The sequence below is a fragment of the Homo sapiens genome, chromosome 13 (assembly GCF_000001405.40).
Source record: "Homo sapiens chromosome 13, GRCh38.p14 Primary Assembly".
Classification (NCBI taxonomy): Eukaryota; Metazoa; Chordata; class Mammalia; order Primates; family Hominidae; genus Homo; species Homo sapiens.
In genome coordinates, this window is record NC_000013.11 from 25517456 (window position 1) to 25531565 (window position 14110).

Here is a 14110-nt window from a genome sequence, read left to right on the forward strand (position 1 = left end):
TAGTTATTTGTTGAATAATGCATTGAGTAATAGAACAGATTTGGAAATCTGATAGGAGCAGGACAGTCACACTATTTAATAGGAATTATAGGTAGACTCTAATTTATGAACTTACCTTCAAAGGTGTATTGTAAATTGATTGGTCAGCAGTCGACTTCCATTTCACTCCTTGGATGTGTTTTGTGACAGATAGTCTAAAAGAGCACTAATACCTCTCCTGGTCCAATTACTGCATTCTGGGAACAGGCTATGAGATAAAGCAGTATCTGACACCCCTTTTTCCTGCTGTAGACTAAGAATTAGGAACATGTTGAAAATATAAATGGCAGTGTTTTAAAATGAACTTAGTGACCTTTTATTTGTAACTGGTGAGATTTCAGTAGTTTAGCATTAATAAAATGAAGTGAAAATTTCTTGTAAGGTGCTCATATGTTACCATTGACAGGCTCTATTTATCAGTGGGAATTCTTGGATTTAAGATTATTTCCAGAATACAATTTGGGAGGGATGGTGGCAAAGCCTAAGGAATTGATGCCAGATGTGGAAGGCCATGGGCTTTGCCATCCATTGGAATGTCCTCTGGGGTGGCTCCCAGGTATGCAGTGATGTCCATCAAGAGAAGTGGCAGAGGGCCACTGGGAAGGGCTTTTGCATTTGGTGGTGTTGCTCTTGTTCTTTCCCTTGATTGGTTGAATGCACTGCTAAGGAATCATTGAATTAAACTGCTTAATGTTTAGTGTTATCATCTTGTCCTCAACTTCCAATCATCTAGAACTCCTTGCTGAGTGACCATTTGGGAGGAGGAAGGTGAATGATATCCTATCGGGAGCCTGCTAGGATGGAAGGCTTCCAGGACATGGGCATGGAATGCTGGCCCTGTTCACAAAGTCAGCTTCCGGTGGGGACGCTTAAAGCCTCCTTTATTCTTTCAGTAAATATTGAACGCTTACTGTATGTTGGGAAGATATAAGAAATTTGTTTTGCCATGGAATGCAGTAGAATAAGGCAATTGTTTTTGACTGTCTTTACACCTTAACATGGATTTACTGTTTCCATTTTGGTGTTGCGTGTTAAGGTTTAGCTTAATTTCTGTTTCTGGAGGCTTGCTTGAAGGGGAAGTTACACTTTGAGCAGCTACTGAACTTTGCGTCTTTTAAATCGGTCTCTGGAGAACAGCTGTCAACTTCAATTTTTCTCGTAGCTGGAAAATCAGACTCTGGTATTGTCTGTGGGTTCTTGCTTTCTGCTGCATTTCTGGAGGTCAGACTCCTGTGGTGCCTTGTGATTTGTGAGGATCAGGTAGACCCAGACCCATATTTTGCCAGACCCTATTTTCTAATGGATTGTTTCTGTATGTGCCTAATTATGAGTTATGGAGTGAAGCGTGTCCAACATACATGTAACAAGATCCACCCCATGAGTTGGGCTCCTCAGAGGAGGGTTTGCAGATAGATATTATTGTCAGGTTTTGTCCTCTCCTGGGAAGCCTCCAGATCTTCCCATCTCCCAAAAGGAAAAAGGCCAGTGTGTCAACATGAGTGACAAGGCCAATGCGTTGGCCCTTTGCCACGTTCATTTCAGTTCTCTTCATACTTCTCCACCTCCGTTTGCCCAAATTGGGCTCTTTACTCTCCCTCCTACAGGTGGAGCAACGGGAGCTCTCCCACCTTGGCGTTTCTGCACTCGCTGTCCCCTCCCTCTGCAAAGCTCTTCCCCTGTGCGTCCATGAGACTTGCTCCTGCTCCTTCACCTCCTTCAGGGCCTAGTTCACAGGTCACCTTCTCAGTGAAACCTTCCCTCGCCACTCTGTTGAAAATAATCCTCCTCCCAGCCCCAGCCAGTGTACCCTTCTGTATCCTCCTTCCCTGATCTGTTTTCCCCTGCAGTATTCATCACGATCTATGCTGTTATGTGTTCTATTTTTTTTTTAATCTCGTTTCTCCTCTAGAGTGCAATTTCCTTGAGGGTGTGCGTTTTTGACCACTTGGTTCCCTTTAGTATCTCCGGGGGCTGGCACACTGCCCTAGTACATAATTAGGGCTCAGGAAATATCTATTGCACATGATGGATGGATGGATGGATTTTTGATAAATCCCGGTCATCTTCATGTCACCCAGTTTCAGGAAACACTGGCCTCATGTTTAGAGGGAGACTGAGTGAATCATAGAGAAATATTCCTGTTTGCGCCTGGTCACTTATCTCCAGCCCCCAAGCTCTAAGGTCTTGGGTTTCCATGCAGCTAAAGCCCCTCCTTGCTGTGACTAGCCAGGAGGACAGTGATGCTGGCACATGCATTTCGTCACACGAGTGGGAATGTCTTTAGGGGAGGGGTGGCTTATTTACTTGGGTGAATAAACTATCCTGTTGGGAAGTTCTGTCATTCACCCATTTACCCCTGGAGATGTTTTTCCCCTGGCAGAGTGAATGGTAAAACATCTCCCATCTTATTACATTTTTAAAAAGTTGCTACATAATAGTTGTATTAACACATATTTTAAAGGTACATGTAATAATTTGATACATTCATATAGTGTGTAAAGATCAAATCAAGGTAATTGGGATATCCAATGCCTTAAATCTCTTCTAGATATTTTGACGTGTACAACAGATTATTGTAAACTATAGTCACCCTGCTGATCTTTCAAATACCAGCTCTTATTTTCTCTACCTAACTGTGTATTTGTACCCATTAATCAACCTCTCTTCATCTCTTCCTCCGTGCTACCCCTCCTAGCCTCTGGTAACCACCAGTCTGCCCTCTGTCTTCATGAGATCCACTTTTCTGGCTCTCACATATGAGTGAGAACATGTGATATTTGTCTTTTTATGCCTGGCTTATTTCACTTAATATAATGACCTCCAGTTCAATTTATGTTGCTGCAAATGACAGGATCTCATTCATTTTTTGTGGCTGAATAAGTACTCCATTGTGTATATATGCCACATTTTCTTTATCCATTCATTCACTGATGGCCACTTAGGTTGATTCTATATTTTGGCTACTGTAAATATGCTGAATAGTGCTGCAATAAATATGACAGTGCAGACAGATATCTCTTTGACATATTGATTTTCTTTCTTTTGGCTCTATAGCCAGAAGTGAAATTGCTGGATTATATGGCATTCCTATTTTTAGTTTTTTTTTTTTTTGTTTTTTTTTTTTGAGATGGAGTCTTGCTCTGTCTCCCAGGCTGGAGTGCAGTGGCACGATCTTGGCTCATTGCAAGCTCCGCTTCTCAGGTTCCACACCATTCTCCTGCCTCAACCTCCCAAGTAGCTGGGACTACAGGTGCCCGCCACCACACCTGGCTAATTTTTTGTATATATATATATTTTTTTTAGTAGAGACAAGGTTTCACCATGTTAGCCAGGATGGTCTCGATTTCCTGACCTCGTGGTCTGCCCGCCTTGGCCTCCCAAAGTGTTGGGATTACAGGCATGAGCCACCGTGCCGGCCCTATTTTTAATTTTTTGAGGAACCTCCATGCTGTTTTCTATACTGGCTGTACCAATTTACTTTCCCACCATCAGTGTACAAGGGTTCTGCTTTTTGCATATCCTTGCCAGCATTCAATCTTCCCTGTCTTTTTTATAATAGCCATTTACACTGCAGTGAGATGATATCTCATTATGGTTTTGATTTGCATTTTTCTGAGAATTAGTTACGTTGAGCATTTTCCTGTTGGCCATTTGTATGTCTCTTCTGTGAAATGTCTATTCAGATCTTTTATGCATTTTTAAAACATATTATTTTATCTATTTATTTATTTTAGCTGTTGAGTTGTTTGAGCTCCTTATTATATTCTGGTTATATTCTCCTTACATATCCCTTGTCAGATGGATAGCTTGTAAGTATTTTCTCCCATTCTCTGGGTTGTCTCTTTGTTGATGTTTTCTTCATTCTGCAGGAGGTTTTTAGCTTGATGTAACCTTATTTGTCTATTTTTGCTTTGGTTGCCTATGCTTTTGAGGTCTTATACAAGAAAATCTTTGTCTAGACCAATGTCCTGGAGTATTTCCCCAATGTTTTATTTTAGTAATTCTCAGTTTCAGGTCTTAGATTTGAGCCTTTAATCTATTTTTATTTGATTTTTGTATAATGAGAGATAGGGGTCTAGATTTCTTTTTTGATATGTAATTACCAGTTTTCCCGGCATCATTTATTGAAGAAACTGTCCTTTCCCCACTGTATGTTCTTAGCGCCTTTGTTAAAATGAATTGACTATAAATGCATGGCTTTATATCTGGGTTCTCTCTATTTCTCTTTTTTTAAGAGATGGGGTCTCACAATGTTGCTGATCTCAAACTCCAGGCTTCAAGTGGTGCTCCCACCTTGGCCTCCCAATGGCTTCTCTATTCTGTTCCATTGGTCTATGTGTCTGTTTTTATGCCAGTACCATGCTGATTTGGTTACTACAGCTTTGTAGTATGTTTTGAAGTCAGGTAGTGTAATGCCTCCAGCTTTGTTCTTTTTGCTCTGGATTGCTTTGGCTATTCAAGATTTGTGGTTCCATATAAACGTTAGAATTGTGTTTTTCTGTTTCTGTGAAGAATATCATTGGTATTTTTATAGGGATTATATTGAATCTGTCATTTGCTTTGGGTAGTGTTGTCACTTGAATAATATTAATTCTAATCCATGAGCATGGAATATCTTTCCATTCTTTGGTGTCCTCTTCAATTTATTTCATCAGTGTATTAATAGTTTTTCTTATATAGATCTTTCACTTCTCTGGTGAAATTGATTCCTAGGTATTTTACGTTCTTTGTAGCTATTGTAAATGAGATTGTTTTCTTGATTTCTTTTTTCAGATTGTTTGCTGTTGGCATATAGAAATGCTACTGATTTTTGTATGTTGATTTTGTATCCTGCAACTTACAATCATGTCCTTTGTGAACAAGGCTAATTTGACTTTTTCCTTTCCAGTTCGGATGCCCTTTATTTATTTCTCTTGCCTAATTTCTCTGTCCAGGACTTCCAATACTATGTTTAATAACAGTGGTGAAAGTGGGCATCCTTATCATGTTCCAGATCTTAGAGGAAAGGCTTTCAATTTTTCCCAGTTGAGTATGATGTTGATTGTGGGTTTCTCATGTATGGCCATTATTATTTTGAAGTATGTTCCTTCTATATCTAGTTTGTTGAGGATCTTTATCATAAAGAGATACTGAATTTTGTCAAATACTTTTTTCAGCATCTACTAAAATGATCACATGGTTTTTGTTCTTGGTTCTGTTAATGTCATATATCACATTTATAGATTTGTATATGTTGAACCATCCTTACATCCCTGAGAAGAATTCCACTTGATCATGGTGAATGATGTTTTTAATATGTTGGTGAATTCATTTTGCTAGTATTTGGTTAAGAATTTTTGCATCTACTGGACGGGCATGGTGGCTCATGCCTGTAATCCCAGCACTTTGGGAGGCCAAGTTGGGTGAATCACTTGAGATCAGGAGTTCAAGACCAGCTTGGCCAACATGGTGAAACCCCATCTCTACTAAAAATACAAAGAGATAGCCAGGGGTAGTGGCACATGCCTGTAATCCTAGTTACTCTGGAGGCTGAGGCTACCTTGAACCCAGGAGGCACAGGTTGTGGTGAGCTGAGATCACACTACTGCCGTCCAGCCTGGGCAACAGGGCTAGACTCTGTCTCAAAAAAAAAAAAAAAAGAATTTTTTCATCTATGTTCATCAGTGATATTGGCCTATAATTTTCTTGCCTGGTTTTATTATCAGGGTAATGCTGGCCTCAGAATGAGTTTGGAAGTATTCCGTGATCTTCAATTTTTTTTCAAGGCTTTAGGATAACTTTTTTTTTTTTTTTTTGAGTCAGAGTTTCACTCTCATTGCCCAGGCTGGAGTGCAGTGCCGCAATCTTGGCTCACTGCAACCTTGACTTCTGGGGCTTAGATCCTCCCACCTCAGCGACGTCCTGAGTAGCTAAGACTTCAGGCACACACCACCTTGCCTGGCTAGGTATTAGTTCTTCTTTAAATGTTTCATAGAAATCAGCAGTGAAACCATCTGGTCCTGGACTCTTCTTTAATGGGAGGCTTCTTATTATGGCTTTGATTTAGTTACTTGTTATTGATTGGTTGAGGTTTTCTGTCTCTTTATGGTTCAGTCTTGGTAGGTTTTATGTGCCTGAGAATTTATTCATTTCTTCTTGGTTTCTGATTTGTTGGTGCATAATTGTTCATAGTAGTCTCTAATGATTTTTTTTGTGTGTGTATTTCTGTGGTCTCAGTTTTTATGTTGCATTTCCATTTCTGGTTTTATTTGAGTCTTCCCTTTTCTTCCTAGTCTAGCTAAGGGTTTGTCAATTTTGCTTATCTTTTCAAAAATTCAAGTTTTTGTTTCATTGATCTTTTGTACTTTTTTTAGTCTCAATTTTATTTCTGCTCTTACCTTTATTATTTCTTTTCTTCTACTAATTTTGGGTTTCATTTGTTCTTGTTTTTCTAATCTCTTAAGGTACTTTATTAAGTTGTTTATTTGAAGTCTTTCTCCTTTTTTGATGTAGGTGTTTATTACTGCAAACTTCCCCTCTTACCATTGCTTTTGCTGTATCCCATAGATTTTGGTATGTTATATTTCCATATCCATTTGTTTCAAGAAATTTAAAATTTTCCTTCTTAATTTCTTCATTGACCTATCAGTTGTTGAGGAACATGTTATTTAATTTCCATGGGTTTGTGTAGTTTCCAGGGTTCTTATTGTTATTGATTTCTAGTTTATTTCATTGTGGTCAGAAAAAAATAGTTGATATGATTTCTAACTTTTTGAATGTGCTGGGACTTGATTTATATCCTAAGATATGGTCTATTCTAAAGAATGTTCTGTATACCAATGAAAAGAAAATGCATTCTGCAGCAGTTGGGTGAAATATTCTGTAAATGTGAGTTAGTCTTGTTTTGTCTAGTATACAATTTAACTCCAGTGTTCCTTTGCTGATTTTCTGTCTAGATGATCTGTCCATTACTGACAGTGGGAAGCTGAGGTCCCCTACTACTATTGTATTGCAGTCTATCTCTTGCTTTAGATATATTAATGTTTGCTTTATATTTTTGGGTGCTCTGGTGTTGAGTGCATAGATATTTATAATTGCCTTTATCATTATAAAAATGACCTTCTTTGTCTTTGACTTGTAGTCCGTTTTGTGTATTATAAGAATAGGTAATCCTACTATTTTTTGGTTTTCACTTGCATGGAATATCTTTTTCCATCTCTTTCATTCTGTGTGTGTCTTTATAGGTGATATCGGTTTCTTGTAGGCAGCATATAGCTGAGTCTTGTTTCTTTATCCATTCAGCTATATATATCTTTTAATTAGAGAATTAAGTTCATTTACATGCAGTGTTATCATTGATAAGTAAGGACTTACTACTGCCATTTTTCTGCTTGTTTTCTCATTGTTTGATAACTTCCTTCCTTCCTTCCTTCCTTCCTTCCTTCCTTCCTTCCTTCCTTCCTTCTTTCCTTCCGTCTTTCAGTCCTTCTTTTCTTTTTTCCATCTTCCTTTGTGGTTAAGTGATTTTCTCAGGTAATAGGTTTTAATTTGTTGCTTTTTATTTTTGGTGTATCTATTATAGGTTTTTGCACTGTGGTCATCACAAGGCTTGCAGAAACATCTTGTAGATATAACAAGTTATTTTTAAAGAGATGACAACTTAACTTAGATCACAGAAAGGAATAGAAACAATAAACTAAAAAAACCTCTGTGTTTTAACTCTATCTCCCCTACATATTGATTTTTTTGTTACCTCAATTTGGATATATTTATACTGCCTATTTTTTAGCAGGTTTCTGTATGTGTTTTCGTTTTTGATAGATTTGTCTTTTGGGCTTCATACTAGAGTTATGAGTGGATTGCACACCACAATTACAGTATTAGAGTATTCTGGGTATGTCTATATGCTTAATTTTACTAGTGGGTTTTATACCTTCAAATGTTTTCTATTTGCATGTTAGTGTTTGTTTTTCTTTCAAATTGAAGAAGCTCCTTTAGTATTTCTTGTAAGATGGATCTGGTGATGGTAAATTTTCTCAGCTTTTGTTTTTCTGGGAAAGCCTTTATTTCTCCTTCATAGTTGAGGGACAGCTTTGCTGGATACAGTATTCTTGGATGGAAATTTTTTTTCTTTTAGCACTTTGAAAATTTTGTTCCACTCCCTTCTGGCCTGTTTGGTTTCCATTGATAAGTCTGTTGCCAGATGAATTGGAGGTTCTTTATACGTTATTTTCTTCTTTTCTGTTGCTACTTTTAGGATCCTCTTTGTCCTTGGTCTTTGAGAATGTGATTATTACATGCCTTGGTGAAGTCTTATTTGGGTCAGATCTGTTTGTTGTTCTCTGACATTCCTGTACCTGGATGTTTATCTCTTTCTCAAGTTTTGGAAAGTTTTCTGTTATTTTTTTGAGTAAGCTTTTTACTCCTTGCTCTTGTTTAACTCCCTCTTGAACACCAGTGATTCTTAGACTTTGTCTTTTGAGGTAATTTCCTTTATCTTGTTGACAATCTTTGTTCCTTTTTATTCTTTTTTCTTCTCTGTGTATTTTCAAATTGCCTGTCTTTGAGCTCATTTATTCTTACTTCTGCTTGATTCATTCTCCTACTGACAGCCTCTAATGAGTTTTTCAGTTCCTCAAATACATTTCTCAGTTTGAAGATTTCTGTTTGTTTTTATTACTATTTCAATCTCTTCATGAAATTTCTCTGATACATTTTTGAGTTGCTTTTCTGTGTTATCTTGAAAATCACTGAGTTCCCTTAAAACTGCTATTTTGAATTCTTCTTCAGAGAGCTCACATATCACCATCTTGTTAGGGTTAGTCACTGGATCCTTGCTTCGTTTGTTCAGGGAAGTCATGGTTCCCTGTTTGCTGCTGTCACTTATGAATGTATGTGTATATGTTTGCATTGGAGAATTAGTTAGTTATTTCAGTTTTCTCTGTCTGGATTCTTTTGCTTTTCATTGGATATATTTGCTTAAGAGATTCATTGTAATTTACCTGTTGAATTTCTTTCTTTTCCCATTAGGTCACTGCCTCCTTTTCAGCATTAGATGGTGCCTTAAGCCCAGGTTTGTCTCCACTCTAATAAACAATTGGAGCACTGTCCATCCCAAATGGAAATGGTGCCAAAGGGGATAGCCTAGCAATGTGGGAAGGTGAATTAGGGGTTTGTGCTCAGGGGACCTGTGGGATGAACCTCCTACAGCATGGTGCTGCTAAGCAGACACTGCAATTTGGTATCTCTTTGGCCAACTTATAGAGCAAAGTTTCCAGAGTTGGGGATAGTAGTCCTGCCTCCTCACTTTGTCTCTGGCTGTCCCCAGGGATATTTCTTCCTTCAAGCACTCCCCATGCTTCCTGTGAGTTGAGGTAGGAACAGGTATCCTGCCAGGGAACTCAAGATGATGGGGAAGCTGCCCGTCACCTTGATTTTCCTTTTTCCAGTGTTAAACTGAGAGTTGGGGGAAATTTTCCACGTGCTTGGTGCTGGCAGATTGGGGAGAGGGATGTCTTGGCTGTGGATGTCCCCTTCTCTTACCATCTACTTGGAGCTTTTTTACTTCTCTGTGGCACTGAGAACTGTCTCATCCTCATATTCTAGTTTTGGGATATTTGTGGTGATAACCTTAGTGCTGTAAATTTGGTTTTTGTTTTCTGTGTGGGGAATGAAGCCAGCTTGCTTCCACGCCACCATTTTGGAACCAGAAACCTCATTGTATTACACCTTATAGTGCTCTGCTGAATTAAATTCAAATAGGAAGTTTGAACAAATTTACCTCCTCAGGAATTATCCTAAATCCCTGCTACTCAAAGTGTGGTCATTGTACCAGTAGCATTGAACTCACCTGGGAACTTGTTAGAAATGTGGAATCTCAGGCCCACCCCAGACGTACTGAATCAGAATCTGCATTTTAATAAGCTCTCCAGGAGACTGGTGTGTTCGAGAAGTACCATCCTGCAATATTCTGGTAGACTCATTTTGATAGGTGCTGCCTTTAGCTGTTTGTAGTGTTATATCTTTAATTCTGTAACATGACAGCTAATGGCTATATATTTTGGCAATTATTTTAATGCCACACAATAACCTTTTCCTGGATGAATGTTAATTTCTCTGAATTATTGATCATGCTTACTCTATCTCAGGATGCAAGCATTTGGGCTCGTTTTTCTAGTTCTAGTAGAGTAAAAGTTAGTATGCATTTCCCTCTCCACTTCTACCCTCTTATATTTCATTTTTTGCCACAAGCAAGATTCCTTTCCTCCTCAACTCTCCATCTTCATGGTTCTCAGGGATATGTAGGTCCTTAAGCACAGTCAGCATTTTGCTCAAGTGGAAAATGTTCATATATAGCTGGGGTAATGTGCCAACTGTGTGCATGTGTATCTGGTTTATACAGATGGAATCTCAGGTTCAAATGTTATAATCAAGCTATCTTGCAAGATAGTTTCTACACTCTTATTTTACAGTATGTGAACTTTCTTTTTGTTTTTTGCTGACAAATGTTGATTGCTTTATTTCAGTGGTCAGGATTGCTGTAGAGGTATGCATGATATGCCATTTGATTTTGTCCTCTAAGCCATAGTTAAGAAGACTTTGTATTGTGAGCTATCACATACATGAGTTTTGTGTATTTTCCCTACTTTTTAATGAACTTAATGTCAGCTGTTGATTCTGGCCAGATTTCACAGTGACATCCTGTTATGCCACAGGGCCACTTAAACAAGGAGGAGATCCATGTCAGCAAATTTCTAGCTAATTCAGGGATAGTCTTTCAAGTTACATATTGTTTAAGTTTTAACTCTTTAAAAAGTGGTCTTCATATAACATCACATACATTTTTAGCACCTTAGGTAGAAGTTGCTAAAAATGATTTTGTCTTTAAGGATAACTCTGATCACTGTATTGTGAAATGCGAGGCCATTGTACCATGGGGCATGATTTTCTCTGAGGCAGTGGCAGATGGGACTATTGGCAGTGGGACTATTTCTTGTTCCATCAAATGACCTCTGGCTGCTATATTTTTGAGTAGTCCACTTTGGTTTTACTCTGTTGTTCCAGGCTTGGTTGCTGTCCAGTCTCACAGTAGTGTACTTTGCTTCTGGTGTATTCTGTCTCCTGAGCCCTTCGCCCTTCTATTGGGGTGCTTCTAATTTGTTGTAAATTAAAAACCTGCTAGATAATCTTTTTTTTATTTATTATACTTTAAGTTCTAGGGTACATGTGCACAACGTGCAGGTTTGTTACATATGCATACATATGCAACTTGTGTATGCATACATATGCAACATGTGTATGCACACATATGCAACATGTGTATGCACACATATGCAACATGTGTATGCACACATATGCAACATGTGTATGCACACATATGCAACATGTGTATGCATACATATGCAACATGTGTATGCATACATATGCATACACATGTTGGTGTGCTGCACCCATTAACTCATCATTTATATTAGGTGTATCTCCTAATGCTATCCCTCCCCACTTCCCCCACCCCACAATAGGCCCCAGTGTGTGATGTTCCTCTTCCTGTGTCCATGTGTTCTCATTGTTCAATTCCCTCCCATGAGTGAGAACATGTGGTGTTTGGTTTTCTGTCCTTGTGATAGTTTGCTCAGAATGATGAAAACCTGCTGGATAATCTTGCTAGAATATATTATAATTAAGAATAGGCTCAGAGTGATGTCTTCAGAGGGTGAGCTAGGAATCATATAGGTACTTTTATGGTGCAAACTTGAATAAAATGTGTGAGCAGCCACAGCTGGTTTGGTTAATTTTGCCTTTGGGTTATTTCACTGTTCACTCACTATCTGCTATGTGCTAGGAACATATGGAATTGAAGTAAACATTCTTGTCGTTCCCATAATCTGTTCTGGGGATAGATAAAATACTAAGCAAAGCATTATGCCTATATGATATAGGTGTAAACACTGTACTGTAGGCTTGCATGAGGAGTGTCGTTATAAATTTGACCAGACTTACTGAAAGATGTAAGATTGGGTGGAAGGAAGGATACTTTGGTCATGGAGAGACAGGTAGGGTGTAAGGGAGAGGATGTCCTAGGTGGAAGCAAAAGTGTGAGCAAACATGATCAAATAAAGGGTGTGTGGAAGGAATGGAATTTATTTGGGTGTGGTTGAAGCATGAAACATCTGTGGTGGTTACCCAGAGGGGAACATCGAATTGTTATTCACACGCCTGCTGTTCATAGCATATAGCTCCTAGAAGGTGGGTAGATGTCTCTGCTTATGTTGTGTGAAAATTAAAGAAGCACATGTATATCTTCCAATGTAGAAAACAAAGACCACATTGGAAGATTTTCTCATCAGGGGCGCCATTTTACAAACTAAAGCTCTTTAGGAGAAGATACACAGCAATTTCCTTGTCTTGAGTTTTGAAACATTTTTTTTTAAACCATTTGTAAAACTTTCTAAACTTCTTGTCCTGTTCTTGTGTTTTAGAGTTTACATCTATAACTGATAGTATTATTTTTCTTTGCACTTACAGTACGGCCAAGTACAGCGTGTTGACATTTCTACCTCGATTCTTGTATGAGCAGATTAGAAGAGCTGCTAATGCCTTCTTTCTCTTCATTGCCTTATTACAGGTAATGGTTTTTTAACAGTTCCTTGGAATTCACTTAATTACATGTAAAATGAGATTTTGCTAAAGGTTCCTTAACTGCTAAAGTGTTATAATCTTGGAATATAGTTTGTTTCCCTCCTCTAGTCATTGTTTGATAGAGTGAACAAGCCTGACTTTGTATACAGGGAGATTTCTTTTGGTATGGCCTTGAGGATGATTGCAGTGACTGAAAGAGGCATTGAAAAGTGGCCTTAGGGCCATACTTTTAAGCCTTTTTCTGTTCCAAACACATAACCAATGTTGGATAAAATTTTTAAAAATATGTAAAATACGTAGCTAGTTTTTAAAGTAAGGTAATTATTTTTGAGTAACAGAAATGGAACAGAACTGCAAAAGTGTGAAACGTACGTGACTGCCGTAATTTTCTGTTCATGGAGAGGATTTTTAATGTGCCAACTTCCTACTTGTGGTCTCTTATCTTCCAGCAAATTCCAGATGTATCTCCAACAGGAAGATATACCACCCTGGTGCCATTGATCATTATTTTAACAATTGCAGGCATCAAAGAGATTGTAGAAGATTTTGTAAGTTTTTGCTTTTGGATAATAAAATCATTGTATGCAGTAGATAATAACTTATGTGTTGCCTCGGGTGATATATTTAAGGCAGGAAATTGGGCTATAGCTTAACCAGCCTCTTTAGACACCTGATGGTATTTTTAGGGGGAGTTAATGTATACTCAGAGTGTCCTAAATACCTGTACAGTGACACTAAACAGTTCAAACTTTGTTTTCAAATATTAGGTCTCTGGAGCCCCATTGATTTTTATCACTGATGTTCCTTATAGCCTGCTTTAGAGCTTGCTAATTTGGGCAGCAAATGAAAGATTGCTGTGTTGTCTAGGATGGCAGCATTGTCTCGCTCTGCCTGAGGCAATTTTACAAGAATCTTCTCCCCTCACAATCATCCTAGTGTACCTCCAAGTTCATTGGCTACAGCAACTATATTCCTTTTCCCTGTCTTTCTTGCTCTGTCTCCCCCTATATATTTGTGTGTGTGTGTATATATATGTTATATATATGATATATATGTTATATGATATATATATGTTATATATGTTATATATGATATATGTTATATATGATATATGTTATATATGATATATATGTTATATATGATATATATGATATATATGATATATATGTTATATATGATATATATGTTATATATGATATATATGTTATATATGATATATATATGTTATATATGATATATATGTTATATATGATATATATATGTTATATATATGATATATATATGATTATATATATGATTATATATATGATATATATATGATTATATATATGATTATATATATGATTATATATATGTTATATATATATGTTTGCATGTGCTGTCTCTCTGTCTCTGGATCTTCCTCTCCTCCCTTACATACACACACACCTTGCTTTCACAAACATATATGCAT

General features: G+C 37.6%; 1 protein-coding gene across 12 annotated transcripts in view; it reads left to right on the top strand.

Moving 5' to 3' along the window:
* The window catches only part of ATP8A2 (ATPase phospholipid transporting 8A2), a 653878-nt gene that overhangs the window by 145482 nt on the left and 494286 nt on the right, over positions 1-14110 (top strand). For all 12 annotated transcript variants that reach the window (NM_016529.6, NM_001411005.1, NM_001411006.1 and 9 more), the window contains 2 exons: positions 12544-12643; positions 13107-13205. In NM_016529.6, coding sequence (NP_057613.4) covers positions 12544-12643; positions 13107-13205 — 199 coding nt within the window. The remainder of the gene's footprint in view (positions 1-12543; positions 12644-13106; positions 13206-14110) is intronic.